Source organism: Homo sapiens, chromosome 10 (assembly GCF_000001405.40).
Source record: "Homo sapiens chromosome 10, GRCh38.p14 Primary Assembly".
NCBI classification, from domain to species: Eukaryota; Metazoa; Chordata; class Mammalia; order Primates; family Hominidae; genus Homo; species Homo sapiens.
Window position 1 is genome coordinate 93,438,803 of NC_000010.11, and position 21,978 is coordinate 93,460,780.

General features: G+C 44.8%; 1 protein-coding gene across 9 annotated transcripts in view, besides 1 other annotated feature; it reads right to left on the bottom strand.

Annotated features, from left to right (window-relative positions):
• The window catches only part of MYOF (myoferlin), a 175,906-nt gene that overhangs the window by 132,374 nt on the left and 21,554 nt on the right, over nt 1–21,978 (bottom strand). For 6 of the 9 annotated variants that reach the window (NM_133337.3, XM_005269694.6, NM_013451.4 and 3 more), the window contains exons 2-3: nt 18,080–18,135; nt 13,248–13,339 (exon numbers count right to left, since the gene is read on the bottom strand). In NM_133337.3, the coding sequence (NP_579899.1) occupies nt 13,248–13,339; nt 18,080–18,135 (148 nt within the window). Of the gene's footprint in view, nt 1–13,247; nt 13,340–16,605; nt 16,644–18,079; nt 18,136–21,478; nt 21,543–21,978 lie in introns of those variants that run through there. The other 3 variants (XM_017016069.2, XM_017016068.3, XM_047425049.1) reach the window with 3 other exon arrangements.
• Nucleotides 20,998–21,620: an enhancer, noted in NCBI's record as "H3K27ac hESC enhancer chr10:95219557-95220179 (GRCh37/hg19 assembly coordinates)". NCBI's record gives its function as "activates a minimal SCP1, AML or CMV promoter by ChIP-STARR-seq in naive H9 embryonic stem cells {active_cell/tissue: H9 hESC(naive)}" and the evidence as "EXISTENCE:reporter gene assay evidence [ECO:0000049][PMID:30033119]".

Here is a 21,978-nt window from a genome sequence, read left to right on the forward strand (position 1 = left end):
TATTTAATAGAACAAACTGTAGCAGGCAAACTCCATGAAAACCTCCTAGGAAGGCCTAGTGACCTGCGCTCCCCCCAGGAACTTCCGCTCCTGACTCCAGGCCAGGACTGCCAGAGAACCTTGCGGCTCTTTTCCTGCTCATCGAAAGGGGGTGTGGCTTTTTAAAAGGTAGAAACACTGATCCTCAACCGTGATTCCCAAACCTGGCTGGCACAAGTCTCGCCTCTACTTTTAGCTCACTCCACGCCCTGGTTTTGGAATCACTGACATAGCCTGAAGGCTGTGGCAGGATTTGCACGATTTTCGTGGCCAGCATCTACTGTGCTCTTTTTCCCAGCCCCTCCCACCTCTGCAACTCTGGCCACTATGGTATCACTGTTACCTTTGCAGGTAACACCTGCAAAGGGCTGAGTGGAAGCCCAGGTCTCCTCACCAAAGCCCTCCGGGTCAGTGAGGCATTGAGGCCAGAGTCTGTGGCTGCGAGGAGCAGGCTAACTCCTCTGGCATGGAGGAGATGCTGAATATTATTTCTTGAAGAAATGGTCACCTGCTATTTTGTTATTTTCACCTGACCAATTCTGTGCCTGCCTGCCTGCCTGCCTGCTCTGATGGTTCAGTGGAGTTCCGATGCTCTGTCTCCAGTTAATTCCCTCAACCGTTAGAATCAAAGTAGTAGTTTTTTCATCCATCCATTTATTCACTCTTTCATGAACTTGAACCTTGTAAGATAAGGAGGGACAGCTTTGCCTGATGACTAGGAACGTGGAGGCAGGCAGGCCTGACTAATTCAGACTCAGGCTGCGTACAGGTTAACTTCTCCGAGCTTCAGTTTCCTCATCTATAAAATGGGGATAATGACAGCTCCTACTTAATGGTATTGTTGCAGGGATTAAAAGGATGATATGGCAAGTGCTTAACAGTCACCTTGTATTATTATTTCAGACACTATGCTAGAAAAAGAGATGTATAAAAAGCATATGAAGACAGGGCTCCTGGCTAGTACTTGGCAGTGAAAGCTGGTCTGAATCAGCAGGGGGCTGGGCAGGTGGGCATGAATGAATAGATAAGAACCCTTTGTAACTACCCACATCCATTTCTATGTAATCACTATGTAAAGTTCTTAAAACCAGTTCTTTATCTTACCTACATTAAATAGCCCTTCCCCACCCTTAATACTACATATACCACAAATCCTTTTGGGAAACAATTTTTCTTTTCAGAGTTAGACCAGAGGTAAATGTCAGCTGCAGCTGAATTCTCATAAAATCCAATTTAGTGGAATCTGAATGAAGTCTGTAAACTTCATAACCCATTATAAAAGATTCCCCAGGCTGGGTGCAGTGGCTCATGCCTGTAATCCCAGCACTTTGTGAGGCCGAGGCAGGTGGATCACGAGGTCAAGAGATCAAGACCATCCTGGCCAATATGGTGAAACCCCATTTCTACTAAAAATAAAAAAATTAGTCGGGCGTGGTGGCGGGCGCCTGTAGTCCTAGCTACTCGGGAGGCTGGGGCAGAAGAATCACTTGAACCCGGGAGGCAGAGGTTGCAGTGAGCCGGGATTGTGCCACTGCACTCCAGCCTGTCGACAGAGCAAGACTCCGTCTCGAAAAAAAAAACCCCCAAAACAAACCCTTATACAACAACCCTATCTAAACCAGCACCCACTCAGACCTCACCCTGCTGTTTTCTCTCCTTTACCTTCCTTTATTTTCTTCGTATCACTTATCACCATCTGTTATGTCATATGTGTATTTATCTGTTCCCTCTACTCAGATGTTAGCTCCATAAAAGGTATGGAGTACCCCCAGTGTCTAGAGCTGTGTCTGACACATAGTAGGCATTAGTAAATATTTGTGGCATGAATAAATTAGCTGATACATCATTGAAGATAGTCCAATGACCTTGCAAATTATTTACAGGTTGTAAATCTTCCTGTCCTAAGAGATCACCCGCCAAAGAGCCATCAGAAGATAATTACAGCTCTTGCCTTTATGAGATGCCTTTCTCTTTCAGCCTCTCTGGGTATCTTTCTCCAGGGCTGTGGCCCAATCTTATTTAATCACAAGATCTTAACAGATACCAACAGGATTGCAGCAGCTACTTAATCTGCCTTCCAAAAAGTGCAGTTCAGCCTCTCCCCGTATAGAGACAGCCAGCCCAAACCAGCTCAGATCATTTCAGTGTCATTGCTCTAATACAGAACTAAAAAGAAATCAGAACTGAGAGTTCTGCCCCACAGTAACATCTGCTTCTAGTTTAGATTTTTGTACAGCCTGAGAAGCTACTCCAGTGAGAAGAACCTGTTTCAATCCATGGGCTATCCTATCCTTCCTCACCAACCAACCCCAGGAGAAGAAAGACCACCTTCTCCCACTGTCACATTTACATGGGGCAAGGTCAGAAATGAGCTTTATAACTAGGAGAAATAAAAGTAATAAAAGCTTAAAGACAAGGTATTTCATATACTAGGGAATGAAAAACGTCTTATAAGCAATACCACACTTTGCCCTACCAAATTAATTTTATTCCAAACGCAGTCTTTTGTTTTTTCTAATTTAAAACAAGCTAGGGAGTTAGTACATTTCTTTTTTTTTTTGGAGACGGAGTCTCACGCCGTTGCCCAGGCTGGAGTGCAGTGGTGCAATCTCAGCTCATTGCAAGCTCCACCTCTTGAATTCAAGCGATTCTCCTGCCTCAGTCTCTGGAGTAGCTGGGATTACAGGTGCCCGCCACCATGCCTGGCTAATTTTTGTATCTTTTTTTTTTTTTTTTTTTTGAGACAGAGTCTCACTCTGTCACCCAGGCCGGAGTGCAATGGCACGGTCTCGGCTCACTGCAACCTCTGCCTTCTGCATTCAAGCGATTCTCCTACCTCAGCCTCCCGAGTAGCTGGGATTACAGGCGCTTGCCACCACACGCAGCTAATATTTGTATTTTTAGTAGAGACGGGGGTTTGCCCATGTTGGCCAGGCTGGTCTCGAACTCCTGACCTCGTGATCCACCTGCCTCGGCCTCCCAAAGTGCTAGAATTACAGGCGTGAGTCACCGTGCCCGGCCGAGAGTTAGTACATTTCACAACGTAAGCTAGGTCTTTTCCTTTTTTTATTTAATTCTATATCCTTTTCCTTTAATTCTATATTCCCCCGAACAACCTCTCACTTTCAAGTTTTAGCACCCTGGCCCTCAACCTGAACACACACACACACACACACACACACACACACACACACACACACAGAATAAACCTTGGAAAGTCTGGGCTCTGTGTAAGAGGATTTTAACATACCTATGTAAAATCCACATGCTTCCACTTAAAGAGCTGAGTGACCTTTTACAATTTAATGAACCTCTTTCAGCCACATTTTTCTCATCTGTGAGTTGAAGATCAGACTGTCTGACGGACTCATAGTTGATATAAGGATTAAATGCGATTGTAACTGAAACAGTTTTAACATCGTCCCTGACACACAGTAAACCTAGAAGAAAAGAATTAGCTATTTTGTTGTTCATCAGGAAATTGAAGTAATTTTTTCTTAATTATATCAAATTTGCCCTATATCTACTATTTATTGAGGAAGTATCACAGTCCCCATTATAAAGATTAAGAAATTTGCCAAGAGTCACCCAACCAACAAGAAGCAAAACCAAAGTTCTGTCTAATCTCATGATTGTACAGCTGGCCACATGCCCACACCTCTTACACAAGAACTGGAATACATTTCCTTCTAGGTATATTGTCAGGCCTTTTTGTTATCTCCTTCCTACAATACGGCAAAACAGATGCCTTGCTTGAGATTTATATTCAGAAACTGTTTCTAACTTTGTTCTGCATTGGTGTGGAAGTATATATAATGGTGGTTTTGCATGCACAAGTACATGTATTTGGAGGGCAGAAAGAATACTAGACATGCAAATTCTGAGACAGATAATTATGGTCACTTTATTTCAGACATTGTAATTGTCATCTCTAGCAGTCCAAGTTAATTTTTTTAAATTATCTTCCATGTCCCTACTAGCATGCTCAAGCAATTCTCCACCTTCTTGAATCTATAGAATAGAATTCCAACACTCAGCGGGGCACGGTGGCTTATGCCTGTAATCCCAGTACTTTGGGAGGCCGAGGGGGGCGGGTCACATGAGGCCAGGAGTTCGAGACCAGCCTGGCCAAAATGGTGAAACCCCGTCTCTGGTAAAAAAAATACATAAATTAGCTGGGCATGGTGGCGTGTGCCTGTAATTCCAGCTACTCCAGAGGCTGAGGTAGGAGAATCACTTGAACCCGGAGGCGGAGGTTGCAGTAAGCTGAGATCGTGCCACTGCACTCCAGCATGGGCAACAGAGTGAGACTCTGTCTCACAAAAAATTTTTTTTAAAGAATTATAATACTTGTTTTACTGTCCATGTCTACTGATTGTGTGCCATTTCTGGGTCAGTTTCTATTGATTGTTTTCTACCTACATTAGGGAGGCAAAATCCTTCCCTATGAATTACAAGGTGTTTCCCCCGGTTGGCGGGAACATAAACTCTTTCTAGTCCTGCCTCAAGCAGTTTCCTCACTCAGTTCTCAGCTGAAGATTCAAGGGGAATTCTCTGCAAGTCTCTGAAGTGCTCTCTCTGTCTCTCCTCTCTCTTCTCTCCTCTTTCTTCTCTCTCTCTCTCTCTCTCTCTGTGTGTGTGTGTGTGTGTGTGTGTGTGTCTGTGTTTCTCTCCTCTTGGTCCACTAGTAACCTTGGCATCTTTAGACTAACCTTGGCATCTCTAGACTCCCACCTGCACCTCTCCAACTCTGGGAGACAACAAGGATCCCTTTTCTTGCATTGCAGCATGGAAATGAGTCTCTCTAGGCATTAAGCTGGGAACTCTCAGGGCTCACCTCATTTATCTCCCATCTCTTAGAGATCACTGTTCTGTGCCAGCAAAGTCCAACATCTGAAAACTACTGTTGCATGTATTTTGTTTTAGTTGTGTCAGGTGGGAGGGTAAATCTAATCCCTTAGCATAACGGAACTACAGTCAATTCCAAACTACAGTCAATTTAAGGATGAGAATTCTGAGGCCTGGAGAGGGTAAGTAACTTGCCCAGGTCACCCACTAGTAATCAGTAGAGCTGGGTCTCTAATCGGCTTCTGCCTGGCTCCAGAATCCCAACTTTCAAATACCATGCTCTCCTGCCTTCCTGTGAGCTCAGCCTTGAGTTCCACATCTCTCTACAAAATGGCATGAGCTTTGTGAGAGAGGTTTGTTTCTCTTGTGTTCTGACCTTTGTATCCTGACCCCTTTGCAGCTTAAACCCAAGTTGGAACTAGGGTGCTGTTTCAGAGAGCCGAGGTGGACAGATTCCACACTGGTGGCCCATTACCAGTGAGCTGACAGGACAGCTGCAAGGTGCTTCTTAAATGGTAAATGTCATCCACGTAGGAGCATCATAAACTCACTTGTTCACTCATTCATCCAACAAACGTTTATTTAGAGCCTACTATATGCCAGGCACTGTGCTAAGTGCTGGTCTTACGGCATTGAACAAGAGTGACATGGAGTTTACTATCCAGTAGAGAGAGAACAAATGAATAAGTAAATAGAAAAGAACATTTCAGATGGTGGTGAATGCTGAGCTACATATAGCAGGTGTGTGGACCAGCACATACCCTGAGTACTTGTCTAAAACACAATTCTAGCATGTATTTGCTCACACAGACTCCTTTTCCCATTCTTACACTCACATGAGCTCCCTAATAAGAAGGGCTTTGGAAGAATAAAACAGAGTAATAAGATAAAGAGTGACAGGGAGGGGCTGCTCTAGGCTGGATGATCAGACATGGTGAGGCCCAATGACAAGATTTTACATCTATTGCAGTTTGAGGGAAGGAGCATTCCACGCAAAGGGAACAGCAAATGCAAAAACTCTACGCAGTACCTCTTTTTTCTCCTGGGCATGTGTGTCCACGTGTGCATACACACAGACACACAAATCTGAAAACTTGTCAATATCTTTTATTTCTACATGTACAGGTTCTTGAAGATGGCACTTTTAGGAACTCAAGGGTAGGGCCAGGATGCCAACAGATCAGGGTCCCAGCCTCCACCCCTCTGAGGCTCAAGTCTACTCTCTACTTCTCAAGGTCACTGTGAAGAGCAAATGAGATGAGATATAGTCTCTTCATATATCTGGTCCATTGCAGAATATAGGCATAAGTGACTTCCTACTCAACAGTATAAAAATGCTTAAAATTTTTACCTAGGGTGGAGCTTATAAAAGGTAGCAATACACTGATATTGAGAATTAAATTTTTTTTTGTCAAAATTAGGAAGAAAAATCACTTCTATTTCAGCAGAGATAATTGATCATTCTACCTACATTTTGTTTACTATAGGTAGTCAGAGGCTTTCAGTATAACATAAAAGTCAAGTGTACAGGCCTGGATATAGATGAGCTGACTCTAACACACACCTGCTGTGTGACCTTGAGCAGGTTACTAAACCTCTCTGAGGAAAAATAGGACCCATCATATGAGGTGTGTGTGAGGATCAATTGGGGTAATGAATGCAAAGGGCTGGGCACAGCCCTTGGCACATGCTAAGTCCTCACAAAGCTATAACCATTGGCTGCCTGCAAAGGGAACTTTCATTCTTCAGCCTCTGGGAAAATCTTTCCACTCTGACATTTCCTCTAAAAAATAACATTTCATGTTCCTTATGTGACCAAGAGGCTCCTCTGTCTCCTTTCTCACCCTCATTCCCTCTGAATGGCTGGTTGGATGACTGTAAAGTGAGGAAGAGGAGAGTCCACACTGAACAAGGCAACCCGCTCCCAGTGCCTGAGGGGTGGGGAGGTGTCACTGCCCACAGGCGCTGTGAGCCTGGGACTGCCTGGGTCTAGCCCATGCGGGTGTGGGCATGGAGCCCAGCTGACCGAGGCAGCTGGGAACTGTTTGCTAATAGGCCGGGGAGCAGCAGATGCAAAGTGAGGGCTCATGTTTGCACAGGCCATCGCCATGGCAACAGGAAAGTCAACAGGCAGGACATTCCTTAAGCTGTAGAAAACCCTTCCGCCCCAACCCTGCACTTCAGGTGAGGGAAGCGGTCCCACACTGAGCAGTAAGCAGATCCTCAAAGGCCAGAACTTTAGTAGAAAAGCCAAAAAGAAAATCTGGGCCCAAAATACACAAATATTTTGAAAACACATATAGTTTATTCCCAGATGGTTAAAAAAAAAAAGTTTGTTTCTGAAATGTACAGGTAATCTGACCAAGGTGTGTGTATTGGTTAGTTGGTGGAAACTAAGCTAATGATCATGATTCCCAGCTGAGGATGGGGAGGCACACTGCTTACAAAAGAGCAGAGGCGGTGGAGGGGCAGGAAATCATGCCTTGTTCATTACAGAGCTGACGCAGGGTCGGCCTTCCACTGCAAGACAGTAAACTATGCAGTGGAATCTGCAGGATGAGAGATAATGTTCTAATTTTTAGTGAAAACACCTCCTCCAATGACCTGGCCATAGGGTCTGAAGTTCTCATCTTGTTCACTCCTTCAAGTAAGTCACTGATGGCCTTCAGTCCAAAAGTCAGTGTTACCGGGAAATTAACTATTAGCAGCTATTATAGCATCACCCGATTAATTTCTCAGAAAGTGCCTTGAAGCAGGACCTTGAAGGACTGAGCCACAGGACAGGTAAGTTTTGTACAGGAAAAGAATTGGCAGAAGATGCAGGGTGTGGCTCAGAGGGCAGGCCTCAGCGGGTACCACAGTGGGAGCCAGGAAACTTAAAGACACTGGGTGCCCAGCAAATGTCAGGGGGATGGAAGATGGGAGGGGGGAAGATTGAAAAAGTAACCAAGACCAGCTTCATAATTGGCCTAGAATTTACCTTTTTCTGTTATGCCTAACAATTCCCGTCATCATAATATCAGAGTAACCACGTGCTCATTTGGTCTTTTTTTTTTTTTCTCACTCCGTCACCAGGGCTGGAGCGCAGTGGTGTGATCTCAGTTCACTGCAACCTCTGCCTCCCAGGTTCGAGTGATTCTTGTGCCTTGGCCTCCTGAGCTGGGATTACAGGTGTGCACAACCACGCCCAGCTAATTTTTGTATTTTAGTAGAGACAGGGTTTCACCACGATGACCAGGCTGTTCTCGAACTCCTGGCCTCAAGTGATCTGCCTGCCTCGGCCTCCCAAAGTGCTGACATCACAGGCATGAGCCACCACACCCAGCCTCGTTTGGTCTTTATACTCAATAGGCATCATAACACCAAGTGCAACATAGCTCAGCACGATGCATGGTGCCCCTGAACCTTAGAAGGACCCTCTTAGAACAGGACCTATCATATTTTCTTTGTTCAGAATTATGCATGTCATAGGTTCAGAAAAATATGAAAATGTGCAGGTTCAGATAGACTGCACGTGAACTTGTGATACTCTACCTTGTTTTAACCTGATTGTCTCTCTTAGCTGAAAGAGCCAGACAGACTCCATTTTAGTTCCTTCACTTACAGCCCCTTTACCTCCCTTCCTTAAGGGCATGACTAGTGTAAACTGACTCAAAGCACGTCCAGGAATGCACTTACCGATAAGACATTGAGGCAAGCTGCACCAGCAGCTCCTGGGGACGTGCTCGGTGGATGGCACCTAAAGCCCCTGCATTTATCTCTTTGTGATAGTTTAAGCCCCTACACCTGGAACTGGTTATTTTTTGTAACTGCTTTTGTAACCAATTAATTTTTTAACTTTTTGCCAGTTATGCTTCTGTAAAAATTGCTTCAGCTAAACTCCCCCCTTCCCTATTTAGACCACGGTATAAAACAAATCTAGCCCCTTCCTCGGGGCTGAGAGAATTTTGAGCGCTAGCTGTCTCTCGTTCGCCAGCTAATAAAGGACTCCTGAATTAGTCTCAAAGTGTGACGTTTCTCTATAACTCACTTGGTTACAACAAACTCTATCTCTAGAAATGCACAAAAATGCCCGAAATGAGTGCCAGGGTGAGCCTGACGGTGGGGGGCTGACCTCTCCCCATCACTGCTGTCATCTGAGGGCCCCACTGTGTTTTCAATGGGTCTAAAATAAATATATAATGGTCTCCCAGTATTGTTTTCCTGCCTCCTAACTGGTTCCTACCTCCAGTCTCTACACAGAAAGCCTGAGTGATCCTTTTAAAATATGTCAGATCATAAGCAAAAGCTTTTAACGGATTCTCATTCCACTTAGGATGAAATCCAAAGCCCGTGCCTTGGCCCCCAAAGCCACATATATTGTGGTTTCTCTGACCTCACCTCCTTCCTGCACTTTCAACCCTCACTGTGCCCCAGGTTGGCTGCCTTTCTCACGTTTCTCCAGCATCCCCAGTGCACTCCTGCCTCAGGGCCTTTGCACTTGCTATTCTCTGCCCAGAATATTCTTCCCCCCTACTCCCTAACCCCCCAATGAACTGCATGGCTCAGTTCTTCATTATATTAGGTTGGTGCAAAATTGCAATTACTTTTGTGATTATATTTAGGTCTCTGCTCAATTGTCACCTTATCACCACCTCACATAAAATGGGATCTCCTTTCCCCCCACCCTTGACAACTTTCCCTTTTCCTCTGATTTGCTTTTCTTCATGGGATATAACAGTTTCTTCTTTAGCTCACAGCATTCATGGTACCCGACATATTATGTATATATTTTTTAGTGTATTTGTTTATTTTCTAACTTTCCTTAAGTATCGTAACCTTCAGGAAAGCAAGGACTTTAAACCATAGATGAGAGTTTTGAGGCCAGCCCATTGCCATGCTAAAATAGATAAGGCATAAAATGAGGAAGGCCTCAACCAGGCTGGTGGCTGTGGGCTTGGGGAAGAAACACAGGCACAAGCACAGACTTTGGAAAGGAAGAAAACATAAGATCTGAGGACAGACTGGATAAGAGGCAAGAGGGAGCTGGGTGCAGTGGCTCACGCCTGTAATCCCAGCACTTTGGGAGACCAAGGTGGGCAGATCACTTGAGGTCAGGAGTTTGAGACCAGCCTGGCCAACATAGTGAAACCCTGTCTCTGCTAAAAATACAAAAATTAGCTGGGCATGGTGGTGTGCACCTGTAATCCCAGCTACTCAGGAGGCTGAGGCAGGAGAATCACTTGAACCTGGGAGGCAGAGGTTGCAGTGAGCCAAGATCACGCCACTGCACTCCAGCCTGGGTGACAGAGTGAGACTCTGTCTCAAAAAAAAAGCAAGAGGGATAGGGTGCAGAGAGGTCTGAAGTTTTAAGCCCAGGATCTGAAACCATCCTGTCCAATATGGTGGCCACTAGCTACACGTGGCTACAGAGCACTTGAAATGTGGTAAGTCTCTGAATTGAGAGGTGCTGTAAGTGTGAAGCAAACACCAGATTCCAAAGCCTGAGTAAGAGAAAGAATGTGTGCAGAATATCACAGTGATTCAAACACATTGATTACATGTTGAAATAACATTTTGAATCTGCTGAGTTAAATATATTATTAAAATTGATTTCACCCATTTCTTCATATTTGTGTTAATCTGGCAACTAGAAAATTTTAAATTGCATGTGCACCCTGCACTGTATTTCTGTTGGAGAGGCCTGGTCTAGAATATAAACAGTGGTACCATTTGCAGAAAGAAGAAAGCAAAGAAGAGGAGGGCCTAGTCTTAGTAACATGCAGGAGGCTAGTGTGAGGCCCTCCCCTCTCCTCCCCTTCCCCAAAACTTTGAAATATGGGAAATAAAACTGGCTTTTGGGAGTTGGGGTGGGGAATAAATAATCATATAATAGTTCGCAGCTGAGATATGCGACAGAAACTTAAAAAGCTAGAATAGTTTCCAGTGCAAGAGAGTGGGACCAGAACCTGCTAGAATGTATGCAGGTATGTATTCATTTATTTAGAGATGGGGTCTCACTATGTTACCCAGGCTGGTTTCTAACTCCTGGGCTCAAGTGATCCTTCCACCTCAGCCTCCCAAAGTGCTAGGATTACAGGCATGAGCCACCACACCTGGCCCAGAATGTATTTATATAGTTACAGAAAAATATGCAGGGGGCATCGGTCAGCAACAGAGAATGGTAAAAAGGATGTCATCAAAGGCGAAGATGGGAGTGCCTATCAAAGCACTGTCCAGGGAGTCCATGTCTGTGCAGACTCTCTTATTTTGATGCCGGTAAGCAGAAGACCCCAATAACTGGAGTGACCATCTAATTTACTGTACCCCTGTAATCCCAGCACTTTGGGAGGCTGAGGTGGACAGATCAGTTGAGGCCAAGAGTTCGAGACCAGCCTGGCCAACATGGTGAAACCTCATCTCTACTAAAAAACACAAAAATAGGCCGGGTGCAGTAGCTCACACCTGTAATCCCAGCACTTTGGGAAGCCGAGGCAGGCAGATCATGAGGTCAGGAGTTCGAGAACAGCCTGACCAACATGGTAAAACCCCATCTCTACTAAAAGTACAAAAATTAGCCAGGCATGGTGGCACACGCCTGTAGTCCCAGCTACTCAGGAGGCTGAGGCAGGAGAATCACTCGAACCTAGGAGTCTGAGGTTGCAGTGAGCTGAGATCGTGCCACTGCACTCCAGCCTGGGCGACAGAGCAAGACTCCATCTCAAAAAACAAACAAACAAACAAAAACCACAAAAATTAGCCAGGTGGAGAGGTGCATGCCTGCAATCCCAGCTGTTCAGGAGGCTGAGGCACAAGAATCACTTGAACTAAGGAGGCGGAGGTTGCGGTAAGCTGAGATTGCGCCACTGCACTCCAGCCTGGGTGACAGAGTGAGACTCCATCTCAAAAACAAAAAATAATAATAATTTACTGTCCAAACCCAGCCACGTTGACTGCAAAAGGGGCATTATTAATCACTGTGCTAGGACAGCAAACCAGGACTGTCTCAAGCAATCAGAGCATGTGACCACCTACCTCAACTAATTTATCCTAAATTTTTGCTCTCACTGCAGCCTTCAGATTATATCAGATGTGCCTAAGACATACATTTTTAAATGTACTAACATTACTAAAAACTGAAATGCTTCTTACAATTGATGGGGGCATTAAATATCACGCTTTTTTTGGCCCCTAACCATTTATTAATTTGATAGTATACTTTATAAACAATAACATCTTGAAATCGAGGATACAAAGTAATTTGGCTTCCCATGTGGTATGACTTGAAGGAAAATTCATGGGTTGGAGGGTAGAAATGCCCTGTCACTAGGCAATTGACTTCCACCAGAAGGAAAATAAGCAGGTATTCTGGTTTTAAGTATTAGTATCAGCTGGGCACGGTAGCTCACACCTGTAGTTCCAGCCCTTTGGGAGGCTGAAGCGGGTAGATCACCTGAGGTAAGGAGTTCAAGACCAGCCTAGCCAACATGGTGAAACCCTGTCTTTACTAAAAATATAAAAGTTAGCTGGGCGTGGTGGTGCACGCCTGTAATTCCAGCTACTTGGGAGGCTGAGGCAGGAGAATTGCTTGAACCTGGGAGGTGAAGGTTGCAGTGAGCCAAGATTGTGCCACTGCACTCCAGCCTGGGTGACAGAGTCAAAAAAAAGAAAAAAACCTTTAGTCTCTTGTGAACTTGGTTAGTTTGAATTGGTAACATACGACTGGGTCTACAAGGCCAAAGTCCAGATCCAGGACTAGGGTGAATTTATTAATACTAAGATCATTCTGTCCCACGGGAACCTGTTTGGGAAGTCTCCCAATTTTACTCAGAGGACAACCCTCAGTGTCACCACGGGCACCACCGTGACCCTTCCCCATGTGAAAGGAAAGAGGCAGTAAGGCAAGGATTAAGGTCTGTTTAGGTCTGTTGGGATTAAAAGGCGAAGGAGACATTAACATGGAAATGGGGCTGAAAGTAAAACTTGAATGAGACATGTATAGGCCACAAATAATCAGAAGAAGTGATTTGGGTTGTATCCAATATCACTACAGTTCAGATAAACTGCCAGAGGTAGGAAGTGCAGTTGACCAAGAAGTTGTAGGCATGTGAACAGGCTTCACTCTAAGTGCCAAGTTTGATAAACTAGTCTAGGTGGCTCGGTGTTTGCAGCTTTTTTGGAATAAAAGCAGTCATTGGGAAAAAGTGCTGTGATGGATTAGCCACATCTGCTATTGGCTTAGAAGGGAGCGGGGCATGGAATTAAAGCACATTTATATTGGAAGTATTATAATACGTTATTAAAGATGTGTCTCTTCAACAAAATAAACAACAGTGAGATAGTAATACCTAAAATGAGAAAAACAGGTGAAAACAACTTACTTATTTTGTCCAATTGTCTCAAAATCTTTCACAATAATCCCAAGGGAAGATGAAAAGTCCAGTGGTATACCCCTCAAGTCAAACTCCAAAATCTGTTCACAGAAAGGTTTTGAAAAAAGAGAAAAAAAAAGGCTGTTAGAAGGAGCAGAGATTACACTAAGATGCACCAGTACTACATGTTGGGTCATTATTTTCACCAATGACAATCTTTTGAAGTTATGCAGAAATGATTAAATTCTAAACCTGAAGGCAGCTGAGGGGGCAGGAAAGCAAACCAGATGTCGACTTAGAGGACCTGTAGACAACTCCTGGCTTCCTGCTTTCTAGGTTCTGTGGCTTCAACCAGGTGACCACACCCCTGCTTCATACTCAAGAGCTGGACTCAACGACTACCACAACTGCTGCAAGAATAAAATGCAGGGTGTTGTTCTCACTCATAAGTGGGAATTGAACAATGAGAACACTTGGACACAGGATGGGGAACATCACACACTGGGGCCCGTTGTGGGGTGGGGGGAGGGGGGAGGGATAGCATTAGGAGATACACCTAATGTAAATGATGAGTTAATGGGTGCAGCACACCAACATGGCACATGTATACATATGTAACAAACCTGCACTTTGTGCACATGTACCCTAGAACTTAAAGTATAATAATAACAAAAATAAAAAAATTAAAAAAGAATAAAATGCAGGGTATATGTGAAAACATTTTCTTCAATGGCTAGTTTTAAATTATCTGCTCTTCTTAATCATACTACTATCAAACAAAGAAGATGAATAATCTAAGAAAACATTTTCTAAAATGCCTCTCATTTTAAGTTCCACCATGGTCGGTCAATGCTATAATATACCGACCTTTCTGAGACTCTCATTTTAATGCAGTAAGTTGCTTCCTAATGACAAAAGTAAAAAAAAAAGATTGATAAAGCGTCACTGATGCCTTTGACTGATTAGGTAATAATTAAATGATGACTTGATCCTCCTTGTAGTGGGCTTGGAATGGAAGGAAAACTTGTTTCAGAACTTCTTAAAAAATTATTTTTAGCACTTCTAAAAAAAAACAAGTTCTCAGTCTCCTCAGTAGCTGGGGATTACAGGTGTGTACCACCATACCCAGCTAATTTTTTTTTTGAGACAGAGTCTTGCCCTGTTGCCCAGGCTAGAGTGCAGTGGCACAATTTCAGCTCACAGCAACCTCCACTTCCCGGGTTCAAGCAATTCTCCTGTCTCAGCCTCCCGAATAGCTGGGATTACAGGCGCCTGCCACCATGCCCTGCTAATTTGTGTATTTTTAGTAGAGACAGGGTTTCACCATGTTGGCCAGGCTGGTCTCGAACTCCTGACCTCATGATCCACCCGCCTTGACCTCCCAAAGTGCTGGGATTATAGGCGTGAGCCACCGCACCTGGACAATTTTTGTAGTTTTAATAGAAACAGGGTTTCACCATGTTGGCCAGGCTGGTCTCAAACTCCTGACCTCATGTGATCTACCCGTCTTGGCCTCCCAAAGTGCTGGGATTACAGGCATGTGCCACCACACGTGGCCTCAGAGCTTCTCTTAGAACACACCCAGCCTGGGAATGGTGGCTCATACCTGTAACTCCAGCACTTTGGGAGGCTGAGGCAAGGAGTTCAAGACCAGCCTGGACAACTTAGATTCTGTCTCTGTGAAAAATTTAAAAATCAGCAGAGCGCAGTGGTGTGTGCCTGTAGTCCCAGCTGCTTGGGAGGCTGAGTGGGGAGGATTGCTTGAGCCCAGTTAGTTATGGCTGCAGTTAGTTATGACTGTGCCATTACACTCTGGCCTGGGTGGCAGAGGAAGACCCTGTCTCAAAAAAGAAAAAAAAGAGCCGGGCGCAGTGGCTCATGCCTGTAATCCCAGCACTTTGGGAGGCCAAGGCAGATGGATCACCTGAGGTCAGGAGTTCGAGACCAGCCTGACCAACATGGTGAAATCCCATCTCTACTAAAAATACAAAATTAGCCAGGCGTAGTGGCATATGCCTGTAATCCCAGCTACCTGGGAGGCTGAGGAAGGAGAATCACTTGAACCCAGGAGGCGGAAGTTGCAGTGAGCCGAGATCGCACCATTGCACTCTAGCCTGGGCAACAAGAGCAAAACTCCATCTTAAAAGAAAAAAGAAAAAAAAGAACACACCCAGCACCAGCAATCCCAGTGGGTTTGGGGTTGACATTTCATTTGTGTTTGGTTTCAATTATAAAACAGTTTACTTGATAAGTACATCTGCAATATGAAAGGAAAGAAAAAAAAAACATGTTGGAAACAAAATGGAATAAGATGGCTGATTCCCTGCAGAGGACATGCCAGCTCGCATGACAGCACATCTCTCTCTGCCATTGGTCACGTGGCTTGATCTCAATCTCAAATTTGAAGAGATGAGTTGGGATGATTCAAAATCTGAAGTAGGAAGCACTCTCACATAAATGCATTTTTTATTTGCTTTATTCTTGGAGTTCTGTCAGGTGCTAGGAATCCACAATGACCAACCCAAGGGGCCTCTTGCTCTCATGGAGCTTGTAGTCCAGCTGGCTGTGTTCTGGATTCTGGGGAAATTACAGATAAGTGGAATTCCCTCTCAACCTGCCTGAGACCTGCTGGGCGTTTCAGAAAGGCATTAAAAAGGCTGGGCAGAGTGGCTGACGCCTGTAAACTCAGCACTTTGGGAGGCCAAGATGGGAAAATGGCTTGAGACCAGGAACTCAAGACCAGCCTGGGCAACATAGCAGGATGTAATCTCTACAAATGTTTTTTAAAATTAGCTGGGCATGGTGGCTTATACCTGTAGTCCCAGCTATTCAGGAGGCTAAAGCAGGGCTATCGCTTGGCCCTGGGAGATCGAGGCTGTAGTAAGATATGATTACACCACTGCATTCCAGCCTGGGTGACAGAGCGAGACCCTGTCTTTTTTTAATTAAAAAAAAAAAAAAAAAAAAAAAAAAGGCCAGCCGTGGTGACTTATGCGTGTAATCCCAGGACTTTGGGTGCTGGGTGGATCACCTGAGGTCGACAGTTCGAGACCAGCCTGATCAACATGGAGAAACCCCATCTCTACTAAAAATACAAAATTAGCTGGGTGTGGTGGCACATGCCTGTAATCCCAGCTACTCAGGAGGCTGAGGCAGGAGAATTGCTTGAACCCAGGAGGCGGAGGTTACGGTGAGCAACCTGCACTCCAGCCTGGGCAAGAAGAGCGAAACTCCATCTCAAAAAAACAAAAACAAAAACAAAAAACAAAAAAACAAAAAAAGAACAAAAAAAACCCCCAAGGCATTAAAAAGTTTTTTGTTTCACTTCATTCAAGAATAAGGTCTAGCGAGGCGCAATGGCTCACACCTGTAATCCCAGCACTTTGGGAGTCTGAAGCAGGTGGATCACTTGAGCTCAGGAGTTGAAGACCAGCCTGGGCAACACGGCAAAAGCCCATCTCTACAAAAAATAAAACAATTAGTTGGGTGTGGTGCACGCTTGTGGTCCCAGCTACTCAGGAGGCTGAGGTGGGAGGACCACCTGAGCCCAGGAATTCAAGGCAGTATTGAATCTTAATCACGCCACCGCACTCCAACCTGAGGGAGACCCTATCTCAAAAACAAACAAACAAATAAAAAAAAACCCAGAAGGTTCTAGTCTTTATCTTATAGAGATATTGAAACTAGTTGGGAGAGAAAGGTGGGTGGGTGGAGGGGAGCCTTCATGGCCTAGTGACTTGGTGAAAATAACAAAGACATTCATTATTGCTCTTGTCCAGGGAGGTTTGACCCAGCTTTTGAAAAACACAATGGAGCTGGCCATCAACTGTTAAAAAGTTAAAGTTTCATGAATAATTGGGTGGTTTAAAAGAGAGAGACAGAGAGAGAGTAGGAAAATCCTATTCAGTGGGAAGAATTAAATTTTTTCACTTATTTGTGAAAATATTAAACACTGAACCACTTCTAAAATAGATATAAGGTCGACAGTGGGGGGAGGTAAATAAGTTATATGTCTTCAGTAGAATATTGCACAGTCATTAAAATACTTTTGAATTTTATGCTTTTGAATTATTAAAATAATTTTATGCTTTTGAATTAAAATACTTTTGAATTATTAAAATAATTTTGAATTAATATGGGCATATGCTTAGGATATAATAGCAAGAAAGTGTAGGAGAGGAAATCATTTGCTATATGCTGCTAGTTTGTGTTATCAGATGTCGTATTTCATTAAATATATTCCTCCAATAAACACTTAGTGATACATCACAGATGTTAATAGTAGTTGCCTCTAGAGAGTGGGACCCAAGTTAATTTTTTAAAGATTAATTGAAGTTTTCAAAAGTTTCCACATGAAGCATACTGGACATCACTTTTATCAACATAAAACCAATACATGTCATTACCCAGCTAGACACACAGAGAATCATGTGATACACTCTTGATTTGTCACATGCAGACATGTTTTTAATTATGAGGCCTTCCTTCTGAGACTCTGGAGATGATCTAATCCCACCCTTGCTCTGCACATGTGCCCCAGATATGCAACATAAGTGGACCAAGCTCACACAGCAAGCTCGTGGCGGTGCCTGGTAAGAACTCAACTCTCCTGCCAGTCCAGGCTTCCCTTGCCGCGCCACTGCTGTACAGAAGATGGTCGCTGGTGAGCTACTCTCCTTGAACTGCTCTGCTCTCTTGGTGAACACAAAGGGAAACGGAGTGGGTGGGGGTGAAATGTAGAGATTCTCCTTCCGAAGGGAAGAGGTAACCTCTCACCCAAAGATAGGACAATCAGAAATAGCTTATCTATTAAAACAAAGTTGAAAAAACAATGAAGTCACCTCATTCCAGACAGGGTTCAATTCATTATCAACTTTCTTTGTTTTCTTTTTCTCATCTGCAAAAGAGATAAAGGAAGAGACAGCAATCATTTATAAAAAAATTAAAGAGCGTGGGCCATTCATTTATTCTAAGAACATTACCCAAGGGTCTACTTGCACCCACATCTCCCCATTCATCGCTTAGGATGGGTGTTTACCTGAATCACAGTTTTCCAAATGAAATGGCATTTTTTGGTCTACAAGGTTTTCCCATCTCCAGGTCTACATGGAGTTAAGGGATGTGATGTTCTGCCCTTCTCTCACCAAGGCTACCCAGAGCCTCTGCATCTCTGGCTTGCTGCAGAAAGAAGCCAACAAAGCTAACCTCTGAGATGCTGATATTGCTATTTTATAGATGAGGATATTGAGGCTCAAAGAGTTAAGACGTTTATCTGAGCTCACACCTGGCAGTGATGCCCTGATTTAAACCTGGAATTTCAGCTCTGAAGCTCATGCTGCATCTGAGTGTGCTAAGATGCCAACACAGCTTCAATATTAAGCTGGACTCCCTCCCATAGGCTTCGGTACAAGGTCATTAGTAGATGAAAACTTTCTAAGACCAGCGGATAATTTGGGGCTTCCTTTACTCCGAGGCCACCTTTTCTGAAGACACAAGATCTTTCTTCTCTGTGTCTGAGCCTGGACAGTACACCTACCTGGATGAGCACACGAGCAAATCCAGCAAGTGCTTAAAGTTTCCTTGTAGCAAAGTCCAAAGAGCAGAGGCTTCTTTTGGGTCCCCAAGTCCCCAAATACCTACCCAAATAAAAGCTAATCTTCGAGTACAAAATGCTTTGTCAGCATTATCTCATCTAATTTTTTTTTTTTTTTGAGACAGGGTCTCGCGAGGTCGCCCAGGCTGGAGTATAGTGGCACTATTTCGGCTCACTGCAACCTCTGCCTCCCAGCTCAAGAGATCCTCCCACCTCGGCGCCCCATGTAGTTGGGACCACAGGTGCACACCACCACACCCAGCTAATTTTTCTATGTTTTTTTTTTTTTCACTAGAGATGGGGTTTTGCCATGTTGCCCAGGCTGGTCTCAAACCCCTGAGCTCAAGTGATCCACCTGCCTCAGCCTCCCAAAGTGCTGGGATTACAGGTATGAGCCACTGCGCCCGGCATTCATCTAATCTTAAAAACCTAGGAGAAGCCAGGTGAGGTGGTGCACGCCTGTAATCCCAGCACTTATGGAGGCCAAGGTGGGAGGATTGTTTGAGCCTAGGAGTTCAAGACCAGCGTAGGCAACATAATGAAACCCCATCTCTACAAAAATACAACAATTAGCTCTGTGTGGTGGCACACACCTATAGGTTCCAGCTACTCAGGAGGCTGAGGTGGGAGGATCCCTTGAGCCCAGGAGGTCAAGGCTGCAGTGAGCCAAGATCACACCACTGCACTCCAGCCTGGGAAACAAAGCAAGACCCTGTCCAAAAACAAAAAACAAACCCTAGGAGGTATATATTACTATTTTCATCCCCCTTTCACAGCTAAGGAAACTGAGAAGCTGAGTAACATTCAAAGTCACCCAGTTGGCTGGGTGCGGTGGCTGACACCTGTAATCCCAGCACTTTGGGAGGCCAAGGCGGGCAGATCACTTGAGGTCAGGAGACCAGCCTGGCCAACATGGTGAAACCCCACTTCTACTAAAAATACAAAAATTAGCCAGGCATGGTGATGGGTGCCTATTATCCCAGCTACTCGGGAGGCTGAGGCAGGAGAATCACTTGAACCCAGGAGGCAGAGGTTGCAGTAAGCCGAGATCGTGTCACTGCACTCCAGCCTAAAGGATAGAGCGAGACTCAGTCTCAAAACAAAAAACAAATAAGTCACCCAGTTAATAAATGGTCTTGCTAGGATTTGAGACCCAGGCAGTCTCACATTAGTGGCCACACTTTGAATCACTCCTCAGCCTTTGCTTCTCCTCTGCTGCTGTGGAATGTAGGAGGTAGTGGGTTTTGTTTAGCTAATGTCACATTGCTTTGGCTCCCAGCACACAGCTGCCTGTGGGACTAACCACCTCATTCTTCCAAGACCTCAGCATAGCAAGGCCGTGAGTCATGGACCTCACTCTGCTAAGCATTAACTTTTCCACTTGAGAGGGCAACACACAGCCCAATGGCTTCCCTTCCTAAGCTTCAGCGTGACGCTCCTCGTCGGCTTGTGCCCAGACCTATCCTGGCTGGTTCTGCCTGTGCTCTCTCTATGTGGCCTACAGAGCCCCTCACTGCATCTGACTCTGAGGTCCCCTAGACGCTGTCCAGAAACTTCCCCTCCCACACTTCCATTTTGACCCCACCCTTCCCTCTCCTCATCTAACAGAAACTCCCAATCCTCCTCTCTGGTTACAGTATAAGAAAGTGCTCTTGAGAGAAACAGGAGACATGCAAAGAATTTTTAACTTAAATAGAACTGGACAAAATGGTTTCTATGTGTAATTGTAGCTGCTCCCTCTACAGAATCATCTCTAGGTGCCAGGCTGTGCATTCTACCACAGTGTCTCTAACCATTGAGACAATTCTTCCAGGTAAACATGGTCATTCCCATTTCTAAGCCAAGAAAATGGAGAGTAGTTAACCTGCCTTCAATCACACAGCTAATAAGGAAACAGCCAGATTTTGAACTACATCCCTCTGGCTCCAAAATCTGTGTTTGTGTGTGTTTGCCACCATGCCACAGTGCCTTATTGGAAGCTGTCAGAAATGCTGGATAATGAAGATTCGTAAATGTAACACATGTGATGGGCTTGGCGTCTTGGAAAATGTCCATAAGGAAGTTTATGGTTGCGTTCCAGGGTATCCTGAAACTCTCCAAGATTATTTGCTCTAATACACAAAATATTGCATCTGTGAGTTTTCTTGGAGGAAAGAGCTCATTGTTCTCATCAGATTCTCAAATGTGCTTGAAAAAGGTTAGGAATCCCAGCATTCAACAAGCATGAAATAGTACCACCAATCTCCCTCTACCTTACCACTACCCTGCTCCCATAACCGGGGCTTGGGGGGGTGGAGAACTGAGTCTCAAAGGAGTGGATCTGGACCCTGAGACCATGGCGGTCCTTCAAGAGAGAAGATAGGAGATTCCAAGAAGTCCCAGCAAGAAGGGAAAGCAAGGAGAAGGCAGAAAATAATGCAATAGAAACTGAGCACCCAGGCTTGGGGTAGGATTTGCATCACTGAAAGATGGCACTGAAGCAAAATTCCAGTCTCCAAGTCCCCAAGACTCCAACCAGGGAGCCAAGGCAGGGACAAGGGCTCCAGGGAGGTCACAGAAAAAACCAGCGCTTGTCAACATGAAACAAGTCCCAAGCCTGGTTCCTGACCCAGGAAACAGAGAACACGGAAGACACGCTGCAAGCTACCTTGAGGCCAAGCCTGGGACCATGGATCCTCTCTGCCCTCAGGAGGCACAGGATTGTTCCAGAGTCAGCAGCTGGGGAGTGTGAAAAGATTCATTTGTTCATTCATTCATTCACAAACATTTATTAAGCATCCACTGTGTGCCAGTAACAGGAAACAGAAGAGTGTAAGATAATTCTTAGTCTTAAAAAGTTCCACAGGCTGGCTGGACATGGCGGCTCACGCCTGTAATCCTAGCACTTTGGGAGGCCAAGGCGGGTGGACTGCCTGAGCTCAGGAGTTCGAGACCAGCCTGGACAACATGGGTGAAACCCCGTCTCTACTAAAATACAAAAAATATTAGCCGGGCATGGTGGTGGACGCCTGCAGTCCCAGCCACTCGAGAGGCTGAGGCAGGAGAATTGCTTGAACCCAGGAGGCGGAAGTTGCAGTGAGCCGAGATCAAGCCACTGCACTCCAGCCTGGGCAACAGAGCAAGACCCCATCTCCAAAAAAAAAAAAA